The sequence below is a fragment of the Homo sapiens genome, chromosome 12 (assembly GCF_000001405.40).
Source record: "Homo sapiens chromosome 12, GRCh38.p14 Primary Assembly".
Lineage (NCBI taxonomy): Eukaryota > Metazoa > Chordata > Mammalia > Primates > Hominidae > Homo > Homo sapiens.
Genome location: NC_000012.12, coordinates 103,849,326 through 103,873,864, shown reverse-complemented (window position 1 = coordinate 103,873,864; position 24,539 = coordinate 103,849,326). Strand labels below are relative to the sequence as shown.

The following is a 24,539-nucleotide window of genomic DNA, read 5'->3' as shown; positions in this document are numbered from 1 at the left end:
CACTTCCCAGATTAAGGCCACTCCAATGGGCTGCAGTTGTGCTTATGATACAATTTAACTTCTCAGCCTAACCTACAATACCTTATATAACTTGGCCCCTGCATGCCTGGGTAACATCACCTTTTATGATTTTTCTTCTTAACCTCTAGATGCCAGCCACATTGGCCTTCTTTTTGTCCTTCAAGTACATTTCCCTTTGGGCCTTGGCACCCACTGTTAACTTCCGCCAAAAATGCTCTTTGTATTATTGATATTTGTAGCACCAGTTTTTTCTGGTTATTCAGATCTGAGCTGAAGCATGACTTTCTCACAGTGGCTTCCTCAATATAATGTTACGTTTAGCCATTCTTGATCATGCTAATGTATCTTAATTTTTTGTGTAAGTTTTACTGCTACCTGACATTGTCTGCTTTACTTTAAAAAAATCTGCTCCTGCTTCCCTGCCCGTAGGCCTTCCAGCCACTGGCAGTCAGGTCCTTGAGAGTAGGCCCCTTCCTCTCGGGTTTATCGCCATGTCTCCTGTGTCTGGAGCAGCACTGGGCATGGGGTGGGTGCTGACTGGCATCTTTCTATATCTCTATCCTTCCCTTGAATCAAATGCCCTTGTTGTCTCTACTCTTCAGTCTTCTCCTTTCAATTTTCTAGACTCCACACTTTTTCCTGCCCTAGAGCCTTTGGACATGCTGTTCTCTCTGCCCAGAATTTCCCACATTCTCCCTCACCATTTTGCTTCAAAACTTTCTGTTCTTTCTTTAATGCTCAGTTGAAGTGTCACTTTTCTGGAGAAACCTTCCCCAGTTTATATTACCGTCTCATTCATGATTATTTTCATAGTTTTAATTTTGTATCTACTTGTATGATTATGAGATGGTCTGTCTTCCTTATTATTTTGACAGCCCAAAAGGCAGGGCCTGGGCCTGCTTTGACTCCTCCTTTGTCTACTCCCCCCAGGACTCTGCCTGGTCCTTGACAAGTGCCCATGGTGCTCAGGAAATGATTGCTGAAGAAATGAATTCACTAAAGAAGAAATACCAGATTCTATTGGTTCTAAGATGCATACTTTCTCAAACTAAACATTTCTGAAGTAAGGATGCATCTTGCAATTGAGGCATGTTAGAGTCGATGAAAAACAGTATAAATTGTTAATAAATATGTTAAAATATTCTATTTCACTAGTAATCAAATAAATGCAAATTAAAACAACAGTAGGGGCCAGGCGCAGTGGCTCACGTCTGTAATCCTAGCACTTTGGGAGGCCCAGGTGGGCGGATTCCCTGAGCTCAGGAGTTCGAGACCAGCCTGGGCAACGTGGTGAAACCCCGTCTCTACTAAAATACAAAAAATTAGCTGGGCATGGCGGTGTGCACCTGTAGTCCCAGCTACTCAGGAGGTTGAGGCAGGAGAATTGCTTGAACCCAGGAGGCGGAGGTTGCAATGAGCTGAGATCATGCCACTGCACTCCAGCCTGGGCAACACAGTGAGACTCCATCTCCAAAAAACAAACAAACAAACAAACAAAAACCCAACAACAGTAGGATGCTATAATTTCAGGTACCAAACTGGCAATTATTTTTTGCAAGGATTTTTATAAACAATAATAATATTGGTAAAGATGTGAGAAAATAGGTACTTTTACATGATACAGGTAAGAATTTATATTGGGACAATCTTTCTGGGGAGTAATTTGGCAATATGTATCAAAGCCTTAAAAATATGAATCTACTGTGATTTTCAATTTCTAAAAATTGTTCTAAGGAAATAATCGGGTGTTTACATACATTTCTGTGAATAATTCTCATTAGGTAGCATCTTATAATAGTGAAAAATTGACTAATGATAATCTGTAAATGGAATAAAATCTGGTCTTAAGTATGTATGCTCTCAAAGAATATTTAAGGATATGGAAAATTGTTCACATTATGTTTATGATAGATTTTAAGTACCATGAGAGCAGAAATGATTGATTGTATTATGTTTGATATATATCCAGTATCTAGCACATCTACATTAGGTGTAGGATGATCCCAATTTTAATTTTAAAAAGGTGTATATGTGTGTGTGTGTTTGTGTTATATGGTACACACAAAAGATTAGAAGTCATATAGCAATATCTTAAAGATTACCTTTGATGCAATTATAGGTTTTTAAATTTCTTAATTATAGTTTTCTATATTTTCTAAGTTTTCTATAATAAACATATATTAGTTTTATAATGAGAAAAATTATGTTTGTCTTCTCAGACTCTACATTGGTGCTAAGTCAGTGAATGTGAGCATGTGGTAGGGTAACAGGAAGGGTTTATGAATAAGGGTTTCTTAAGGCAAAGGAGATTGTTGAATTGAGTATTAAATGCAGTGATGGACATCATCCATTTCAACCTGAGCCCTTGTCAGGAATCTGGAAGCAAAGTCCTCCTGGATGTGCAGAAGCCTCACCCTGGGCAGGAGCCCATCCCTGCACTGTTTGTCTAGGCATCCTTGTTTGCCTGCTCCAAGCAGCTCCTCCTGACTCGGAGGCTCCCTGTCTCTTGCTTCTTCCTCTAAGTTCTCATTCCCACCCCAGGCCCCATTGCTTGAACGGCCACTTTGCACAAACGTCCTGGACTCTGGCTCTCAGCATTCTGTCTCCCTTGTCTGTGTTTTAGTTTTTGCTTTTTGACTTGAAGCACCATAGCTCCAGCCTCCCTACAAAGCTGAGGGTTGTGGAATGTGATCCATGGAAAAACAGGCAGAAAGAAAGCAGGAGAACAGTCAAGGCTGAGGTGACTTCAACGTGAGCAAAGGAACAGATGAGGAGCAAAGAATATATTTATGTCAAACATATTAAATGCCATAATTTTAACAAATGAACAAATGTAGACATTTAGATACTGGAACATATGGAAAAGGAAATTCTAAAAATGAAGCTTTGCAGCACCATGTATTTAATTGGGTCTTTAAGTTAAAAAATTCTGTTTTCATATGTGTATAAGGTATAACTACACACACACACACACACACACACACACACACACACACACACACACACACACACACACACTGTATGTCTCCTTATTTTGTTCTTTTAGGATTTTCTTTCTGTTAAAGCCAGCAGTTCAAGATAGTTGCAACAGAGGGCAGAATGGTGTAAGAAATTTAAATATCTTTTTCTTCTTATCTGAAAATCACCCCAAAATACAAATTAGAGCAATGCATGGATTGAGCTATAAATACTCTTTATTGACTAGTTTTCAACATTTACATACAAAGATTATTAGTTATTTTTCATGTCATAGTATAAACTGTTTGGCATTATATGTAAATCTTAATACAAGCAAAGTGCTGAACCCTTGAGAGAGAACCTGAACTATGGCTAATGCATTTAACTTCTATATCAATATTAAGATTAAGCAATGGGTACTCTTTGTTCTTTTCCAAACATGCTGTGGGATTATTTACTTTTCTTTCCATTCTAGTGCTGCAGTGCAGGCTTATTGAACTTACTGTCCTTGACAAATGTCGATTAATGTTCTTTATTGGGAGTTTTTTGAAGTTTATGGGCAAGACCAATGAAGCAGAAGAGTTGTTCTTGAGTGTTGAGGACATGTTAGTACAGGTAAACTGAGAGTATATTTTAAATCCTTCAAACTTTATTCCTTTTGTGTTAGATATTTTCAGATATTATTTACCTTTGTTCATGTAAAATTAATTTAATGCCATAGAGGAATCCATTTTGTTCGCCAATGAGGAAGCTATGATTTTAACCCATGCCCAAACTGCACATTAATGACAACAAACAATAAGTAGATAGGAATCATTATAGAATGAATGAGTACTGATAGTTGACACTTCGGAAAAAAAAAAGAAATGTTCATGAAGCAAAAATGGGAATACACTGGTAGATTGAAATGAATTAATAAAAGACTAGCCAAAGACTTGGTTATAAGTTTCATAAAGATGTTGGGAGGCCAGGCACAGTGGCTCACGCTTGTAATCCCAGCATTTTGGGGGGCCAAGGCAGGCGGATCATGAGGTCAAGAGATTGAGACCATCCTGGCCAACATGGTGAAACCCCATCTCTACTAAAAATACAAAAATTAGCTGGGCATGGTGGCGCGCACCTGTAGTCCCAGTTACTTGGGAGGCTGAAGCAAGGAGAATCGCTTGAACCTGAACCTGGGAGGCGGAGGTTGCAGTGAGCCAAGATCGCTCCACTGCACTCCAGCCTGGTGACAGAGGAAGACTCCATCTAAAAAAAAAAAAAGAGAGAGAGAGATTGGGGAAGGTTGATTGATGTCTTGGCCCTATATTGATTTGCTTTTTCTGAAATATGAACTTTTGGCTTTGTTGACTACAATGAAAGCATCACTCATAACATAACTCATAACATAACATAACTCATAACAACTATATGCTTATGATGACATTTAGCTACTATTTTATTTAATGTAAGTTTATTTTTTGGGGGGACAGGGTCTTGCTCTGTCATCCAGGCTGGAGTGCAATGGTGTGATCATGGCTCACTGCAGCCTCAACCTTCCCGGCTCAATCAATCATCCCACCTCAGTCTCCCAAGTATCTGGGACCACAGGGGTGCCCTACCACGCCTGGCTAGTTTTTCAATTTTTTGGAGAGACAGGATTTTGCTACGTTGCTTAGGCTGGTCTCAAACTTCTGAACTCAAGCGATCCTCCCATCTTGGCCTTCCAAAGTGCTAGGATTATAGGTGTGAGTCACCACTCCTGGCCTAACTGCTATTTTTTTTTTTTAAGTATTAACTTTCACTGATTTTAGTAGAATTTGTGGATTTAGGGTAGTCTAACTCAAGACAAAGCTGTTTTTATTTTAAAACAAAGACATTTAAACTTTCGTAAAACACTGCCCTCGTCGCCATCAACATATGTCTTTCTAGAAGGAGTTCTAGTAAAGAGACTTAAAAGACTCAGCAATGAAAGTCCTTTTATGGCAGAGACCATGTTTGTTTATCAATTTTTGTTCCTCCATGGCATATTATAGCCTGTGGGTGCTTAATAACTGTCAGAAGTGAATCTATAAATCAATTTGAACTGGCAGGTTCCTCCATGCCCTTAGAAGGTGGCATGCAATTGTGAACAGAGCATGGGCTGTTTTCATACTGACCCAGATTTCAATCCCAGTTTTGCCACTTTCTGCTTGTGTGATCTTGGTAGGAATTTTAACCTGCGCTTTGGTGAGTTCTCATTTTTGAGGATTCTAATATCTATCTCAAGGGACTGTTAACATGGTCAAGTAAGAAGGTGCATAAAGCACTTCACATAATGTCTGGCACACAGTAAGATCTTAAGTATGGTAGCTATTTTGTTGTTACTGTCTTTGAGTAATGAAGCAAATGAGGCCTAGGTGAGAAATATAAGGGAGTTTGATTTAAGCTTTTAAGAGAACTTCCCACTTCAGAGTGCTCCTTCTGGAGGCATCAATCTTATGATTCTATCTTCAAAATATTTTTGCAGCAGTTCTTTGGGACTAGCCACCATGAAGACTATTAAAAGAATGTTTTTAGGCTCTGAAGGCACTTCCAAAAGAGGTTTTATGACTATTTTGGGCAATAACAACTTATTTGAAATATGTGCCTGACATTCTTTTTTTTTTTTTTTTTGGTTTCTAACAGGTTATTTTTAATACAAATCAAGTTTGGCATATTTCATTTTTAACATTACTTCGCTTTTGAAGTGGTAACTGAACCTCTCTAATGCTGCGTAAATGGAGATCAAAATATTTATAGAGGCTTCATCATACATAACCCAGCTCCAGGGATACAATAGCAAGAATCAAACATGATTTCTCCCCTCAGGCAGCTTGCAGTCATTTGGGAGAAATAACTATTAATAAGACATTAGTCCAATGATTATTCAAATCAATATATAATTACAAACTGTCTTAAGAGCTAGTAAAGAATATTAATGCTATGTAAATATAGTCGTACATCACTTAACAACAGAAATCTGTTCTGAGAAATGCATTGTTATGTACCTGACATTCTTTTTGTGTGGTCGTCGCTTGTTATAGCAAACTAACATTCTTGAGGGGAAAGATCTTGTTATTTGTGATATATGCATTCTGTACTGTACTGCTTTTATAATTTCTTCAGATAAGGTCATTTTAAAATTTAATCCAGTGGTTTTCAACTAGGGGACAATTTTGGTCCCCAGGGAACATTTGGCAGGGCTGGAGACATTTTTGGTTGTCATAGCTTGGGGGAGAGTTGCTACTGGCATCCAGTGGGTAGGCCAGAGGTGCTGCTGAACATCCCATAGAGCATAGTTCCTCACAGTGCAGGGTTATCCTGCCCAAAATGCCAGTGGAGCCCAGGTTGAGAAACCCTGATTTAGGTGATATGTTTATTAAAAATTGATCTCTGGGGCTGGGTGTGGTGGCTCATGCCTGTAATCCCAGCACTTAGGGAGGCTGAGGTAGATGGATCACTTGAGGTCAGGAGTTCAAGACCAGCCTGGCCAACATGGTGAAACCCCATCTCTACTAAAAGTACAAAAATTAGCTGAGCATGGTGGTGCGTTGGGTCATTGAATTCACCTAAAAATAATTTACTACCCCCCCTAAAATTATCTTTACTTCCCCATCTCCCTTCTCCTGAGAGGCAGGGTATAAAAATGTCTGTATTCTATAATTCCCCACTGTGCGTGCTAACAAATGTGTATGCCATTTCTCCTATTAATCTGCCTTTTGTCAGTTGATTTTTTCGGCGAAACTTCAGAGGGTAAAGGATAAGTTTTTCCTTGGCCCCTACATCCTGAAATAAATATGCTAGACCAGTAAGGGGAATTTAAATTCAAGTCTCTGTGCACAAATGTGTCAAACATAAAGTTAGCTGCTCTCTGGTCACATTTGAATTCAAGCAGCGTTCACAGCTATTCATTTGAATTCTGGATACCACCTCCTCTGAAATCTTTAACACATGCAAGACATTGTCACGTTATTCTTTAAAATTTTTTATTTCCACTGGGCACGGTGGCTCATGCCTGTAATCCCAGCACTTTGGGAGGCCGAGGCGGGCGGATCACTTGAGGTCAGGAGTTCGATACCAGCCTGGCCAACCACAGTGAAACCCTGTCTCTACTAAAAATACAAACATTAACTGGGTTTGCAATGCCTCCCAATACATCTTTCACCATAACCATTATCTTATATATATATTTAGAATTTCCTAAGAAATGATGTAAAGCATACAGTCTTTTTCAATGTCATTATGAATAAGCCTTTGTTGGGTAGGTATCTGGTATCTGTATGTATCCTAATGCTGTGTTTTCTCAGGGGTGGTTCCCTTTTCATTTTGTACAGAGCCAGTCCATGACAGACATGCTTCTCAAAGTACAGAATGCTATTGGAGAACTGTATCTTGAAACTGGAATGACTCAGGAAGGGTTCCAGTATTTCCAGAAAGCATGGTCAAGCATGCTGCGTCTTTCACTCAGTGACTTAGAAGACAGCCGGGACTTGGTGAAGCAGAAAGGTACGGTGGGCACATGCAGAGGGAACAGCCTCTCATGTGTCACAGAGTCAATCTCCTCCTGGACTATTCCCACCTGTGAGAAAAAGGAAATGGATGTGTGTGTTTTGTTTACTTGGTGTTTTTGTCTTGTTTTGTCTAGTTTTTGAGACAGAGTCTCGCTCTGTCACCCAGGCTGGAGCACAGTGGTGCGATCTTGGCTCACTGCAACCTCCACCTTCTGGGTTCAAGAGATTCTCCTGCCTCAGCCTCCCAAGTTGCTGGGATTACCGGCGCTCACCACTATGCCCGGCTAATTTTTGTATTTTTAGTATAGATGGGGTTTCGCCATGTTGGCCAGGCTGGTTTCGAACTCCTGTCCTCAGGTGATCTGCCTGCCTCAGCCTCCCAAAGTGCTGGGATTACAGGCATGAGCCACGGTGCCCAGTCTACTTGGTGTTTTTGGAGGGCTGGTGGGTATGTGAGGATTGAACATAAAGTGTTCCTGATTCTGATGGACCACCCTATTAGAATGTCATTGTCTGTTAGGGTGAGCTTCAGAGAAGGAAGCTTCAAGCAGTAAGGTGGCGGCATCATGGTTCAACTCTGAAACCAGCTTTTCTGGGTTTAAACCCCTTTTCTTCACTTATTAGCTCTCTGTGCCTTTAGAGACGTTACTTAAACTTTCTGGGTCACAGTTTTTATATTTATAAGGTAGGGATAAAAATAGCATCCACATTACATATGGATGCTATGTTGTGAGACTAAAAGCTGGAAAGCACAGAGAATGGTGCCTGGCACATAAGTAGGTACTAATTGATGAATGGCAGCCAATGTTTTATTCTCCAGTATTTGATGCCTGAGGCCACTGTGATACCACTGATATAGCAGAGACAAAGAATGTTTAGTGGATTAAGGTATTAAGAAATTTTGACTCACTCATTTACAGTCATACTAGAGGTCTCTAGACGTGTGTCACACTTACATGGCTGTATCAATTAGATTTTGTTGCATAAAAAACCATCCCAAAACTCTGTGGCTTAAAACAATGTTTATATTTGCCATGAGCCTGTAGGTCAGCTGGGGGATTCCACTGGTCCAGGATGGGCTCAACAGATTTGGGCTTGGCCCGGGCAAGCATCTGAGGTCAGCTGGCAGGGCTGATGGGGCTGGCTGGTCCAACCTTACTTAGTTGTCTGGTGGTTGTCTGGCTGGGATGACAGTGGTGGCTGGACCATGTGTTCCTCATCCTCCAGGAGGACAGCCTGGTCCTCCTCACTTGGCAGCTCACAGGATTCCAAGAGGGAGAGCAGAAGCCTAGACTTAGGCTCAGAACTGGTACAATGCCTCTTACCACCGCATTCATTTGGCCAAAGCAAGTCACCAGGCTGTTTCCACCTCTTGATAGGAGGAAGTACAGAGTAGCATAGCATGGCAAAAGGTAGTTGGGTAAGGACTAGTGTAGAGAATCGCAGCTGTTTCTGAAATCTGCCCCATGGCTAGAAGATCAAAGGTCGCCTCGGGCAATTCTGTCCCATGGCTAGAAGATCAAACGTCGCCTTGGGCAAGCTACTTACCCTCTCTAAGTTTCTCATCTGCAAGTTCACTTTGGTAGTGATAGTTATCATTCATTGAGTGCTTACTGTGTGCTTTATGCTGATGATCTCTTTTATCCTCAAACATACCTCATACAGCATGTATAGCTGAATGTCAGAGAGATTAAATAACTTAAACTACATCAGCTCCTGAAGCTATCAATCTGAAGCTGAGAGTCCAAGCTAGGCTGTCTGACATCAGAGCATGTCTGGGCAACTCCTTGTTGTACAGAATTTCTTCTAGACATTTATGAAGCTCTAATCCTTGGTATATAGAGTCTAGCTTCCACGTTGTTGTCCTAATGCAGGCAAGCCTGGTCACAGGTATGCTGGGACCTTGGTGGCAAACAGGGCCACTTATATGGCACAGTGACAATCAGGGCCACTTATGTGGGAGCTGGGCCTGGCCCTCCAGAGGCAGCTGAAGAGTCCAAAATGCAGAGTTTCAAGGGGTCAGGCCACCATGGCTTGGTATATATATGTGTTAATTTTCCAAGGAGACCAAATCAGCAGGGGTAGGGGAGTGGGGACCTGGTGAAATGGGATGCCAGGAAGTCATTTGTGGCAGCTTTGATAGGAGCATGCTGTAGTTCTGGTCCCCTGACAAGGGTTAGGTGTGGGCTTATGGCTTGAGCAAGCAGATGAAGAGGTGGGACCGAGGATTCCACCCTGACCAGCATTCACGCACTCAAGAGCTGTTTACCGAGTGCCTGCATGCACCAGGTGCTATGCTGAGTCCAGAAAAGTGGTCTAGGCAGGAGCACCAACTCTACCCTCTAAAGGAAGTGCCACAGAAAATAGAAGTGAGCCAACCCATGAAATGATTGCAAGCTGTCATAAATGCAAACAAGAAATAGAGCTAGAGCATTGGTGTGTGTGTGTGTTGGTGGGGGGAATATTTGTGAAAGGCAGATCAAGATGCCTCTTTGGGGAGGAGACAGTGAAGCTGAGACCCAGTGGACTATTGGAGCCACAAGTGGTGAGAGAGGGGGCAGTCCTGGTAGAGGGAAGAGCATGAGATGGGGGAGGGCTGGGCCTGTCCTAGAAGTGGAAGGAAGCCTCAGTGAGCAAAGAGCAGGAGGCAGCTGGACCCCAATTGTGCAGGGTCTTGGGCTTCGGGCCTCAGGCAGGCATTTAGATTTTATTCTAAGTGCAAAAGGAAGCCATTGCGGGGACTTAGGGTGGGGATGACACCTCTGATTTCTGTCTTGAGAACACTTTTGCTGCTGCATGGAGAATGGATTACATGTTGGGTAAGAGTGGACACAGAGAGACCAGTTACATGACTGTCCTGCCCTGGTGTCCAAGTGCAAGGCATGAGGCCTTGGGTGGAGGAAGACAGAGAAGCCTACAGTGGGCATTGGGCAATGAATTAGGCACTACTGATGATGGCAAGAGATGCTACTTGATAGCTTAATGCTAATCCTTCTTAATGAAGCCTGAATTCCATAGCACAAGGAGTTAAATCTGCTCTTCTGTGCTGCCAGCAATGCTCTAATAACACCTTCTTGGAACATTATTCTATGAGTCTGCTAGAGCTGCCATAACAATCAGTGGACTGCAGCCTGGGTGGCATAAACAATAGCAACTCATTTCTCAAAGTTCTGGAGGCCAGAAGTCCAAGGTCAAGGTGTCAGCAGGGTTTTTTTGTTTTGTTTTGTTTTTCTCCTGAGACCTCTCTCTTTGGTTTGCAGATGACTGCCTTCTCCCTGTGTCCTCATATGGTTTTTTCTCGGCATATGTATGTATGTGTGTCCATCCTTATCTCCTTTTCTTCTAAGGATACCCATCATATTGGATTAGGGCCCACCCTAATGACCTCATTTTAACTTACTTCTTTAAGGACCTTATTTGCAAATACTATCACATTCTGAGATACTAGGGGTTAGGACTTCAACATACAAATTTTGAGGGAACTCAATTCAGCCCAAACAATTTTTTTTTTCTCTTCCCATAACAAAGTGTGGCTTAAAAACCATTTTCTACTCTTTAGGAGTCTGTATTATTGTCAAAATATTTAACTCTCAATAAAGGAACAAAATTACGGGGCCTTTGCAGAGAGTGCATTCCCAAGGCAGTGCATATCTAGGTACAACCCATTATTTATTAATTGGGTTTGTGAGACTCATTCGTGTGCTTCTTGTTATAAGGCTGTATAGTTTTATTGTGTCTTATTGCAGGACTGTACTGGCTGCCTTCTGTAGGGCTCAGTTACCTTGGCTTCATTGTATCCATATTTTCACTCTATTTCTGACCTGTTCATTTGCAAACAAACTCAGAATTTGGTTTCAATCTATTGTCTTGGCTCCTTGGCTCTAAACTGCTGTGCATACACAAACATGTCACGTGAAAACCAACCTCCATGCAGTATATGTCAGTAGTTTATTTATTAAGAAAAACCTGCCTATTGCCAGTGATGAAATGATATTAAATGCCATGCCTATTGACATCTTAATTCTTTTGTGGAAAAAAGAAAACCCTTAAGCATTATATTCTTTGCCAATTTATTCCCTGCAGTCAGAGTTTTGGACAATCTGGCAAAGTCAGCATCTGAAGAATACTTAAAAGAAAACCACATTTTGGAATATGCAACTGAAATTTCCAACTTACTGGATAACAATCCCCGTGATCAAGCTACCATGAAATACATCGAAGGTGTTCTAATGTAAACATGTATTAAAAATTTTTTTTTGTTTTCTGTACTAGCTTTTATTCTTTCAATTAAGATATTTAACCTATACCTGTTCATCCATTTCCTAACTGATTTAGTTAAGAAATGCTGATGGTTAACGTTTTTATTCTCTAGCTTAGTGGTTCTCAGCCAGGGGCAATTTTGGGCCCTTTCCCACCTAGGGGACTTTTGGCAATGCCTGCAGACATTTTTGTTGTCATGTCTTGGGGGATTATTATTGGCGTCTAGTACGTAGGGGCCAGGGACGCTGCTAAACATCACACAATGCACAGGACAGCCCCCCACAACAAAGATTTATCCAGCCTAAATGTCAGTAGTGCTGAGGGTGAAAATAGTGCTCTAGTGTTTAAATTTTTTTTTAAGAGTCAGGGATCTTGCTCTGTCACCCAGGCTTGTTTGCAGTGGTGCAATCATAGCTCACTGAACAGGGCTCAAGCGATCCTCTTGCCTTAGCCTCCCAAGTAGCTGGGACTACAGGTATGCACTACCATGCCTGGCTTATTTATTGATTTATTATTTTTTTAGAGATGGGGTCTTGCTATGTTGCCCAGGCTGATCTTGAACTCCTGGCCTCAAGCAATCCTCCTGCATCAGCTTCCTGAGTAACTGGGATTACAGGCAGCAGCCACCACACCCAGCTCTCTAGTTTCTTTATAAAGATGTGCAAATTTCTTATAAATCACTTTGAAGTTCTCGCCTCGCTGCTATTATAAATTGCTCTTTTTTATATTTTCCAGGACAGATTTTTTATATAAAATCCAATATGTTTATGAGAATTATGTTTGATTGCACAATGAATGTAACCAACATGCCCAGTAAAAAATGCACATGTGTTTTTATTTTCAGGTTCGTTGCTGGAAATACCTCTCTTGCAAAAATGAAACTTCGAGAGTGCTTAAATATCAGGAAAAGCTTGTTTGGCAAGAAAAACATGCTGGTTGGAGAAGTTATGGAATTTTTAGCGGATTTGCTATTTTTTCCCCAGAGAGATAGTAAAAAGTAAGTTTTTATGAAATGTTTCAAGAAGTGTGTCTTCCTGTCTCCCCGCCAAAAGTGCCCCTACCAGTGGCAGGGAGGTCTGGGGTTACTCATCAGGGGTAACTCTTGTAATACTTCTTTGGCTCCAGCCCTGCTCAGAAGCCTGGGGATTCACCCCACCATAATGTATTCAAAAGGAGCTCTTGGGCTGGGCATGGTGGCTCACACCTGTTAATCCCAGCACTTTGTGAGGCTGATGCAGGCAGATCACTTGTGGTCAGGAGTTTGAGACCAGCCTGGCCAACATGATGAAATCCCATCTCTACTAAAAATACAAAAATTAGCTGGGCATGGTGGCGTGTGCCTGTGGTCGCAGCTACTTGGGAGGCTGAGGCAGGAGAATTACTTGTACCTGGGAGGTGGAGTTGCAGTGAGCTGAGATCGTGCCACTGCACTCCAGCCTGGGCGACAGAGCAAGACTCCCGTTTCAAAAAAAAAAATAGTAAAAGGAGCTCTTGGCTCACAAGTGGTGAGGAGGTTCTGGCAGTAGAGAAATGACATAGGAGTACAATGTGGTTGTGAGTGGTTCCCAGTGCCACTCATAGGCCTTGTGAGGAAGATGCTCTTACTTCTGGGTCTCTATGCAGCCCTCAGCCATGGCCGTTGTCTGTGGTACCACACCATCCTGCTCTCTATTCTGCAAGACCTAGGCCAGAGCCTCCAATGCCTCAGGTCATGTTCACCAGCCACCTCTCCTTGCTCAGGGAGTCCTCTTATTCTCCTGTGATGTGCGGGGTTCCCCTCAGTGCCTCACACAAGACATCTCAGTTTAAAATACACTTGTAGGTGCCACCCTCCAGACTGACTGAGTGTGAGCATCTTCCAGGGCTGACCGCTACTTCTCTTGGCAGGTTGCTATGAGAGAAGGTTCTTTGTGAACCCACAGACAGCCATGCACACACTTGCTTCCATAGCCGATTTAGCTGTGTGGATGGTTAGGGATGCTCTAGGCTACATTATGAAGTTGGGAAGTTTTGTTTTGGTAGCCCCTCTTTCCTACTGTCACTGAGTTCGTTTCCTGGGCTCTATGTTTGTCTCAGACGGAGCACATCAGCCCCACCAGGGCCCAGGGCTTCAGCTGCTATTCCATAAGGTGAGGATTCCCTGTTCCCTGGCTTGCTTTTCCATTTCCATTTCCCACGTTCCTCCAAGTCATTTTCCTCCAACCAGGCAGGTGACCTCTTGTTGCTTTTGCTTCCAGGAAGACTAGGATATTGGTCATCTCTTAACACTTGAGTGCAAATCAGTATTAACCCTTTCTAAAAGGCATTTAAAGGGTAACTACCTTTTAAAGAGTAGCCCAATTAAGGGAGGACCTAAGGGTACAACAGTGGGTGCTATACAGTAGTGGTGAGATGGTGGGCTGTGGAGTCTGATTGCCTGAGTTCACCTTTCATTTCTGCCACTTAGTAACAGTGAGAAATTACTGTTAAGGTCAAGCACTTAACATCTTGGTATCTCATTCATTTTCTCCTTGGTAAAATGAAGGAAGTAACAGTGTCTTCCTGGCAGGATCTTTGTAAGGATTAAGAGATCCTATATGTAAAGAGCTTAGCAGAAAACCTGGCACACACTAAAAGAGTTTGATAAATTGAGTCATTCATATTTTATTATTTTGCTCCCCAGCAGGTGTTTTTTGAGGCACTTGATACCACATACGCCTCCTCTTACTCATGTTAAGACCAGCACTGTGAGCAGAGAACAGGACTTTCTTTACAGAAGCAAAAAGCTTGACTGTAGAACCGTTGCCTCGTAAAAGAAAAATCTAAACACGTAGCATACTGACTGAGTCATCTGTCCTGCCTGGCTGCCCCACCCCAAATCACAAGACACCGAGTACTGCCCGGCCAGCCTTGATGACCATACATGGATGGCTTCCTCCAGGCCTCACTGTCAACAGCCAACCTTCGAAACAACGGAGTAGCCAGCCATCTCCTTGTTGAAGGTTATCCTTAGGTGACTGTGTCTTTCACTTTGGTTCAAACCAGGAGACATTTTGTTGTGTAACTTGACTCACCTCTCAAGCACGTGTAGACCCTTTGCCCTGGTGGCCAGGGGCCCTCGAGACAGCACTCATGCACCACAGAAGTGATCCATGGGATCCTGAGGGCCTTGTAGAAGGGGTCTGGGTAGGGTTGGACAAATGAGGTCAAATTAAAAAATTAAAGTTAAGAAAGCAGATCAGAGAAGAGTGAACAAAATGTTTTAAGAGGAACAGTGACAGATTCTTAGTGAAATGATTGTCATCTACTTTCCCCCAACCATTTGCCCATCCATCTGTAGTTATCCTTCGGTCAGCATCCTTGGCACAGTCACCTTATGGAATGGCAGCTGAAGCCCTGGGCCCCGGTGGGGCTAATGCGCTCAATCTGAGACGAGCATAGAGCCCAGGAACTTCTTCCCTTACCCAGCTCCGTTTTGTCTCCTCTTATGAAAGTCATCAGAAACAACCCCAAAGTGTCCTCGGCACTTTTGACCTTGTTGGCCCTCTCCTCGCAAGCATTTGACAGAGTTGAAACTGTACTCTCCTGGGTGATCAAGCCGGCTCAGCTTCTTTTGTGGGTTCCTTTTCTCTCCCTGCCTCTTGCCCAAACATCAGCATCCTCTTGAGTTTGGTTCCTGGGCTCTATGCTAGTCTCAGATGGAGCACATCAGCCCCACCAGGACCCAGGTCTTCAGCTGCTGTTCCGTAAGGTGAGTGCTCTTTGTCTCCATCTTCTCAGGCCTCTGTTAGCAGCAGCAGCCATATGCTTTCATCTGTTTACTGGACATCCTCACTTGAGTATTCCACTGGCACCCCAGAGTCAATGTGCTCAAGACTGGACACATACACCCTCACCCCCTGACGGAATTCTCCTTCTCCCACCTCACTTGGTGCAGACACCATGGCATCATCTTAACGATACATCTTAGCAATGTTTATCATCAGTCACTGTGCTGACACATTACACTGATTTTCTCATTTAATCCCCATAACAACTCTGTTATCTGTATTTTTTTTTTTTTTTTTTTTGAGACAGGGTCTTGCTCTCTCATCCAGGTGGGAGTGTGGTGGTGTGATCCTAGCTCACTGCAGCCTTGAACTCCTGGCTTCAAGTGATCTTCCCGCCTCGGCCTTCCAAAGTGTTGGGATTACAGGCATGAAGTACTGCGCCTGGCCTATTATCCCCATTTTGAACATGAGAAAGTTGAGGCTTAGGAGGCTGAGATGCTTGTTCCCCAGCTCTTAGGTGGCGGGGCTAGTGTTAGCACCTGGGAAGTCTGATTGAAGAGCCGCTGAGCCTGACCTCTGTGGCCCACTGCCACATCTGCCTGACTTTAGAGCTTGAGCTCTTAACCACATCACTCTCTGCACAAATAGCAGCCCCCCAGCACCCCTAGCATCAGCACCACCACATCCAGTGCAACACCACGCCCTAGTAAATCTCCCTTCGCACCTGTGGCCACTGTGTCAGCTCAGACCTTCATCGATCTTCTTCCTCCGGCCTAACTGGTCTCCCTGTCTGTGGCCTCACCTGTTTCAGTGTGTCCTCCACACTTCTGCCCAGGCAGATTCTAAAATGTACATTTGATCATATCAGGTTCTTAATGAAAACTCTTCACGTTAAAGTCAAAATCCTTAGGTTTGCACTCAAGGTCCTTTGTGGGTGGACTCCTGCTTTGCTCTCCAGTCTCCCCTCCTACCTCAAAGAAATTCTCAGAGGGCAAGGGTTAGTCATACTCATCTTTGCTCCCCAGCCCTAGCACCAGCATTCAGTAAATGTTTGTTGAATGAATGAACGAATGCATGCCAGCCTTCTTTGATGCAAACTTTAATTAAATTTCTCTTTTCTAGATCCCAAAGGAAGCAAGTACTTAAATATTATAAACAAGTGATAAAAATAAAGGAAAATGCAGAAACTCTGGCCAAGTCCTCACTCCTCAGGAAGCAACTGAGCATCAGCCTCAGCGATACGTTGTGTAAATTAGGTAATCACGCCCTTCTATTTGTTATATGCAGGTGACTTTTCCCTTTGATTCACCTCATACTTCGCTTATTTTTAAAAAGTCTCCATTTTTGAACCAAGCAACTCCTGTTTCACAGACTTTAAACTATTTTTGCTACCTACTTATGTTCTCCTAGTAGGAAAGGTATCTCTTAAAATCGTTTCCATCCCATTTTTCATTCTTTTGTAGGCTGAGCTCCTTGCTTGACCACACTCCTCCCCCGTCAGTGTAGGTTCCCACCTTTCTTCCACTTCTGTCCTAAGACATTGTTTCTACTGTATATGAATAGCTTTCCATACCTTTTCATCTGTGATGCTAAAGTAACATGTGACCAGAAATAACGAGATGGCTTTTCACAAGGGCCCACCCTTGATTTTAGCTGTAAGACATAAGTCTCGGCTGTGCGCAGTGGCTCATGCCTATAATCCCAGCACTTTGGGAGGCCAAGGCAAGGTCACTTGAGGCCAGGAGTTTGAGACCAGCCTGGCCAACATGGTGAAACCCTGTTTCTACTAAAAATACAAAAATTAGCCAGGCATGGTGGCACACGGCTATAGTCCCAGCTACTCAGGAGGCTGAGGCGGGAGAATTGCTTGAACCAGGAGGTGGAGGTTGTGGTGAGGTGAGATTGCGCCACTGCACTCCATCCTGGGCAACAGAGTGAGACTCCATCTCAAACAAAACAAAACAAAACAAAACAAAACAAAACACTATCAGGGGTCCTGTCGTCTCATTGCCACAGGGCATTATCTGTTCTTCAACCAAAACAAGTAATTTTCAACCGGGGTGATTTTGCCCCCCAGGACGAAAGTCTGGAGAAATTCCTGATTGTCGTGACTGGAGCTGGGAGGGAGGTTAGGAGATGGGAGTGCTACTGTTATTTAGTGGGTGGAGGCCTGGGATGTGGCTGAACATTTTACAATGCCCAGGAAAGCCCCTCACAACAAAAAATTATCCACCCTCAAATATCCACCCTCAGTAGTGCTGAGGTTGAGAAACCCTGACCTAAACCAGCTGCTTTTCCCAGCTTGTGTGCTTATCATCTGTTTTACAAGAAAACATGATTGCTTTCAGGATAGTCACTTGCTGAGGAGGAAAAAAGCTTTAAATGCCTGATACCTGTAGGAAAGAATATTTTCAATGTGTAAATTTGGGAATGTGTATGTGCATTTTTTTTTTCACTAAATATTTCTACGCTGAAGCAGTTTTACAAACAGAAAATACAGATACAAATTTAGAGAAAGTTTATGGACAAAGAACTAGTATATTTAATCTGATCGTTTCATATAATATTCTGTTATGTAACAGTTTTCGTGTCTGGTCTGTGATGGGAGGATAATATATTCATTTACTTTCAGATATGAAGGCATCTGTAATAGTAGCGATTGCAGTGTTGTTTTTTTTTTTTGTGACTTCTTAAATAAGTCTACATTTCAGTTTTGCAGTCTATACTCACGGTGGTTAGACCAAGCATTTTTATGTGAGGAGTCATCTCTTGCTGCTATTTCTTGCCGTTATCTCCTGCTGTTGATTGAAGTTGATTCCTTTAATATAAGGCCCACTTCTGGCCCACAGGAACGTTGTAGATGGTTAATCCAACTGCTAATGTGAGATTTGTGTGCTGTGGTTTCAATTGGTGAATGGTGAGAGCAAATCAATATCTTCGGTACACAAAGGCAAGAGTGGAGGGAGGGAAAGTAGTCTGTTTATGGAGACCTCTGAACCAGCTGTCCTTCAACATGTAACAGGTATTTTTAGTTTTCCTACCTTTAATGGAAATTTTCTATCTAAATGGAAATGTGCCTGAGTGGACTCCATAAAATAAGAAGTAAGCCAGAGCCGCAAATTGTTGGGACTTCTCACCATTAATCATTTTTAAACATGTCTTAGGCCCGCTGCAGTAAAAAGTGTTACCAAACATTAGTCCTCAAAGCAGTTCACTTTGAGGTCAACAGCTATGTATTTTTCATGGGAGTTGGATTATATTTTACTATGTATAATATAATATACATGTATAATTATGCATACTATGGTATACATATAATTACGCTGCATTTATTCAGCAAGTCTTTAAGTACTTTATACCTTGTAATGCATATCAGAATGATATGGTGGTATTATCTTACCCAGCTAGATTGTTGATCTGGGGTGGTTTGGGAGAATAATTTACGCTATAAAGAAAAACAATTCAGCTGGGTGTGCTGGCTCGCGCCTGTAATCCCAGCACTTTGGGAGGCCTAGGTGGGAGAACTGCTTGAGCCCAGGAGTTGAGACCGGCCTCTGAGCAACATGGCAAATCCCCATCCCTACAACAAATACAAAACATTAGCTGGGCATGGTGGCTCGCACCTGTAGTCCTAGATACTCAGGAGGCTAAGATGGGAGGATAACTTGAGCTAGGGAGGTCAAGGCTGCAGTGAGCCAAGATCCTGCCATTGCATGCCAGCCTGAGTGACAGAGTGAGATCCTGTTTCAAAAAAAAAGAAAAGAAAAACAATCTATACCCCTGACCCCCAACCACCCACTTGATGTTCATAGCATGAAGCCACCCACCTGAAGGCAACTGAAATGATTGCTTGCATCTGCCTTTGTGACTTTGGATTGTGGCTCATATGCGAAACTACTATTAATATTTGCTTCCTTTGTTTGTAGCTTGTCTCCACTGTGGGGCAGATCCTTGGGTGCCCTGCAGGGGAGATACCCATCACTTTGAAGTGGTCCCCTAGATTATCCAATGTGACTTTTATGAATGCCATGTGGCTTGTATTTTAATTCATCCCAAACATGCCTTCTAAATTTGGTAAAAATCTGTCTTGGTCTCTTCTGGATGCAGTAGCAGATAAAGAGACAAATAGACACTAGGTTGCCCATGCTCAAAGGATTGTACTAACTGCTCTGCAGGATACAAAAACAAAAAAGATAACTTCTGTCTTCAACTTCAAGCAACTTATTTTTTTTGTTGTTAGGTGGCAATATAAACCTATAATAAAAAATATAGCACATTAAAGATTTAAAGCATAGCCTGGCTGGAGGGGATTGAACTGAGTTTTGGTTTTATCTTGGCCATAATCAGCTGTGTGACCTGCAGCAAGTCACAATGCCTCTGGCCCAAGTCTGTCCCTGGCCCCACATCATAAGATGTGAAGGGGATCAATTGAGAGCTGTCAAGAGGGGCTATGAGGAAGCATCGGGACAGAGGAGGTGTGTGGAGTGGGAGATAAACAAGAAGAACAGGCAGTGGTGGGAGAGTTGAATCAGTGTGCTGATTTGAAGGAAATTCTCTCCTGTAGGGAAGTGGCGACTTAAGACTGAGGAAGGCTTGGGGGCCAGTGATCCTCTAATGGGCTTGTTCTATTTAGGAAATTGTTTTGGAAACTCTTGAAAATTGTTTACAGCTCATCAAGGCTGTCTAAAGTCTGTCCACAAATGTGCAGTGAAGAGTTCCCTGTCCATCTTATGGAATTTAACCCTTACCCTTGTCACCCTCTAAGGTACTAAAGTAAGTAGCACAGGTTGAGCATACTTAATCCAAAAGTCCAAAATCTAAAACTTTTTGAGTGCTGACATGATGCAAAAAGGAAATGCTCATTGAAGCCTTTCAGATTTTGGAGTTCTGGGATTAGGGATGCTCAACTGGTAAGCGTGATGCAGATATTACAAAATCTAAAAAAATCAGAAATCTGAAACCCTTCTGGTACCAAGCATTTTGGATAAGGGATACTCAACTTGTACTTTACTACTTGAAATTATATATTTATCTGTTCACTAGGGGTTTTTTTTTCATCTCTCTTGCTATAAAGAAGAGACATGATCTGTCTTCTCCACCATTGTATACCATGCTCTTAGAACAGTGGGTGGCACTTAGCAGGTACTCATAAACACTTGCCAAGTGAATGAATGTAGGATAGAGGAAATGCCTTAGCTAATTCAGATTTACCCTCCCACTTTAGAAGTGCAAGTATTGATTATTAAGGGCATTTGAATGTTAATTACTTATATGCTTATCATTCATTTATTAATTATAATATTTACTGCACCTATTAAGTGACAATCTCTATGTTAGTTCCTGGGAGTATAACAATGAACCAGACCCACAGAGACCAACACTGCCTTCCCTGAGCTCACATTGGGGGAGAAGGCTGTCAGGCAACTTAAATACACAATTTAACTGCAATTGTGGAAAGTGTTACCATGGAGACAGCAGTTAGACAACTAAATACACAATGGCTTAACTACAGTTGGGGAAAGTGCTATCATGGGAAAATACAAGTACTAACAGGTGACCTTGATCTGTCAGATGGAGGGGCGTGGGTTGGGGATGCATCTCAGGAAGTGATGCTGAAATTGGATCTGCAGGATGAGAGGTGGCTCACTAGTAGTGGGAGAGAGGGAGGAGAAGAGTCATCCAGGCAGTAGGAACAGAATTTTCGAGGCTGGGAGGAGTTTTAAGGGCCCGGAGTGCAGAGAGCAATGTGGGGAAGGAGGTGCACAAGGAGGATATTGGAGAGGTGTTGGGAGGGCTGGGTCACAGCCCTCTCAGGCCCAGTCAAAGATCTGGGGTGTTACCATAAGAGCAACTGAAACCAGTACAGGATTTTTGCAAAGTAGGTAAGTGTGAGGAACCCAGAGCCTTTCCTCTAGCATAATCTTCACAAGAGCTTTCTAATATTGTATTCTAAGATCATTTTGTGAATCCAGAATCCATGAAAGAGCACAAAGGACATGTTTGTGACACTCATTTTCTCTTCCTTTCTGAGATGCATATTTTAACCTCTCAAACAGACTGTGAACTCCTGAGGGCAGGGGCCTTATTATGTATTCTTTGCATCTTCGAAACATCAGAAACAGTGCTAGCTGTACGTAGATGGGGCTCTGTCACTGTAGGTAGGCTGAGAAGTGGATAAGCAGGTTCTTTCTGGGTAATTTGTCTTGGGTTATCCAGCAGAAATGATGGCTCTGCTCCAGGCTAACAGTATTGAAAGAAACAACCCAATTGTACTTTTGTCTATGGAAAACAATGATCTTCAGATGACTTTTCAGATTTCATTTTAGAGTTCAGGTTAATGAAAATTGCTAGCTTGAATGTCATGACACCTTTCTTGATCTTTTATTATTTTACTTTTTTTTTTTTGAGACAGTCTCTGTCACATAGGCTCTGGAGTGCAGTGGCGTGATCATAGCTCACTGTCATCTCAAACTTCTAAGCTCAAGTAATTCTCTGGTCTCAGCCTCCCAAGCAGCTAGGACTATAGGCATGCGCCACTATGCCTATTTTTAAAACATTTTTTGTAGAAATGAGGTCTCGCTATGTGACCAGGCTGTATTATTACATTTGAGCAACATGTATAATACAGTGTAATCTTCCAAGGGGTATGAAAATAGTGGGCTTCCAGCAATTTTTGATAATTAAGATTTTAATTATAAAATCACATTTTTATATGAGATTATAGTAAGCACATATTGAGATGACAGATTTGTGAGAGGGTGACAAATCCAGTTTCAAGTACAAATGTTAACCTAATAAGACTGTTAATTCTAGAGATTTTAGTGGGAGCCCTAACTATAAAATGAAGATTTTTGTGATTAATGTTCCAAGCTACCTCTGACACAGAGCAATCTCATTGCTCTCCTTTGATGAGTGTTTTACATTTGGCTATTGAGACACCACATAAGTGGGAGAAAAGAACAGAAATGTGGCTTTTTCATGTTCCATTATATCAAGCTGAGTGTTCTGTACTGAACTGTTTGTTTTGGATGAAGTGTGGTAGATGAACATTATGTTACTTCTCTCTCCCTGGGATTCTGTTTAAAAGAAATGCCAACCGTCTTAGTCAAATTTAGAAAGAAGAAATTAAACAAAGGCTCTAGTGTCTAGTGGGTGACTCTTAGCCCCTCTGAGAGTCAGTCCCTTCTCTTTGTTTCATTTTTAAATTCCCTCTCAGTCCCTTCTCTTTATTTCATTTTAAAATTCCCAGCTCAGCCAGAACCCTCTTCAACTGTAGCAGTTGGTCTCTTAATCCAAGTCAGATAAATGATACAGACAAACCTTACATTTTAACTTAAATATAAATCCATTCTTTCTCCAGACTTTTAAATGTGTAATTAAAATATCTCTCTCTCTTTCTCTTTCTCTCTCTTTAATGGGTCCTCTGATTGGAATTAGATGTCATCTTCTCAAAATACATCACCCTCCATTTCTAGTTTTGGTTTCTGAAGGGTGACAACAATTGTGATGCAGTCTGTGTGCAGTATCCTTCTAAGTTGCCGCCTTTTTCCCCCTCAATCTTTTGCAGTTATCTTGTCCACTCACAATTTGGACTTATTTTTCTTAGCAGCTCAGGGTATTGAGCCTTTCCCAAGAATTCAGTCTGGTTTTCAGAGAAAACAACTCCTTTTTATCTCATACTCATATCTTATTAGTCTGTATTGCAGTCAGTTAAATTACCTAATTAGATTGACATACTCAATTGACTCTGGGGTATACCAGAACCCAACTGTTGGGAATAGAAGTATGCCAGCAAAGTAGAGATAAGCCTGCTAGCTGCAGGCATTTAGTGTTACCTGGACATTGGGGAGTATGTTTTATAGAAGAAATGGAGAATCCTGGTTAATCCAGAAAACCAGTTTATGTGTGTTAACAGAGCTTACTTTTTATTTGTGTAGGCTTAATCATTTTTAATAGTTTATATATTGTAAACCGTATTGGGTGCAAAAAAAATGTCAAGTAGGCCTCATAAACTTAGAAAACTTTTAAACCTGGAAAGGGCTCTAGAGGTCACTGAACTAATTTTAAAGCTGAGGGAATAGCAGATACATCACATGACCTGCCCCAGTACATTTGATCAGAGAATTCTATGGATTAGATATTATAATCATCGAGGCTCACAAAGACCAGGCACAGCTAGTAAGTAGATCTCAGACTTGGCATCCATTTCTCTGACCCCAGTCCCAAGCCCTTCCCGCTGTTTGTGAACTCTAGGAGTTTGTGGTCTTGTTGGGGTGACAAGCACATGAAGAGAAGTGCAATCCAATGTGTTATGTACTGTGACGGACATTGGAGAGGGCACAGGGATGCACAGAAACGAGGCAAGAAGGAAGGCTTTCCAGAGACAGTGGCTTGGGCTGTGAGTTCTGACAGGTGCCTGGTGAAGAAGTTCATGAGGAGCATTTTAGGTAAGGAGAATCAGCATGAACAATGTCAAGGAAGGGAGAACTTGGGTGGTTTGAAACTCTGGAATGGGGAGAGTTGGGGAATGATGCTGAAGGAATCAGCAAGGTTTACCAGGCTCAAGGGCTTGACAGGGAAGCTGCTGTAGGATTTCCAGCACTAAGGGGCATGAGTAAGTTTGTGTTTAAGATAAAACAATCTTGTGACCAAATGGGGGATGGAATTGGTAAACTAAGAGGGGATGGTAGAAATAGAGAGAGAGTGTCAGATTTGAGACTTAGTAGGTAAATCCAACAGGCTTGGTGCTTGATTGGATGTGGGAGGTGAGAGAAAGCCAAAAGCATTTCCCAGTTTACAACTATATCATAGGTCAGTGCACCTGGGTTCATGATGCTGTTGGCATTGCAAGAGAGGGAGCATAGTTTGGTAGGGTGGGGTGGGAGCCACAGTGAGCTAATTTGGGGCCTGTTGAGTTTGAATTTTCTATCTAAGTAGAGACATTCAGTAGGCAGTAGGACATATGAGTCTGGTGCTTAAGAGCTTGAAGACTGAGCCAGAGAAAACATTTGGGAGTCCTTAGTGTACACTTGCTGGCTCA

At 42.3% G+C, this 24,539-nt stretch overlaps 1 pseudogene across 1 annotated transcript in view, besides 1 other annotated feature; it reads left to right on the top strand.

Annotated features, from left to right (window-relative positions):
* Positions 1–24,539, top strand: part of TTC41P (tetratricopeptide repeat domain 41, pseudogene) — an 86,463-nt pseudogene that overhangs the window by 56,347 nt on the left and 5,577 nt on the right. Inside the window, exons 10-14 of the transcript NR_027249.1 lie at positions 3,455–3,594; positions 7,314–7,485; positions 11,574–11,721; positions 12,595–12,747; positions 16,622–16,755. The product of NR_027249.1 is annotated as a tetratricopeptide repeat domain 41, pseudogene (transcript). The remainder of the gene's footprint in view (positions 1–3,454; positions 3,595–7,313; positions 7,486–11,573; positions 11,722–12,594; positions 12,748–16,621; positions 16,756–24,539) is intronic.
* Positions 14,057–15,256: an enhancer, noted in NCBI's record as "BRD4-independent group 4 enhancer chr12:104252387-104253586 (GRCh37/hg19 assembly coordinates)". NCBI's record gives its function as "activates an origin of replication core promoter dependent on BRD2, P300/CBP, MED14 and CDK7 cofactors, and independent of BRD4, by STARR-seq in HCT116 cells {active_cell/tissue: HCT116}" and the evidence as "EXISTENCE:reporter gene assay evidence [ECO:0000049][PMID:35650434]".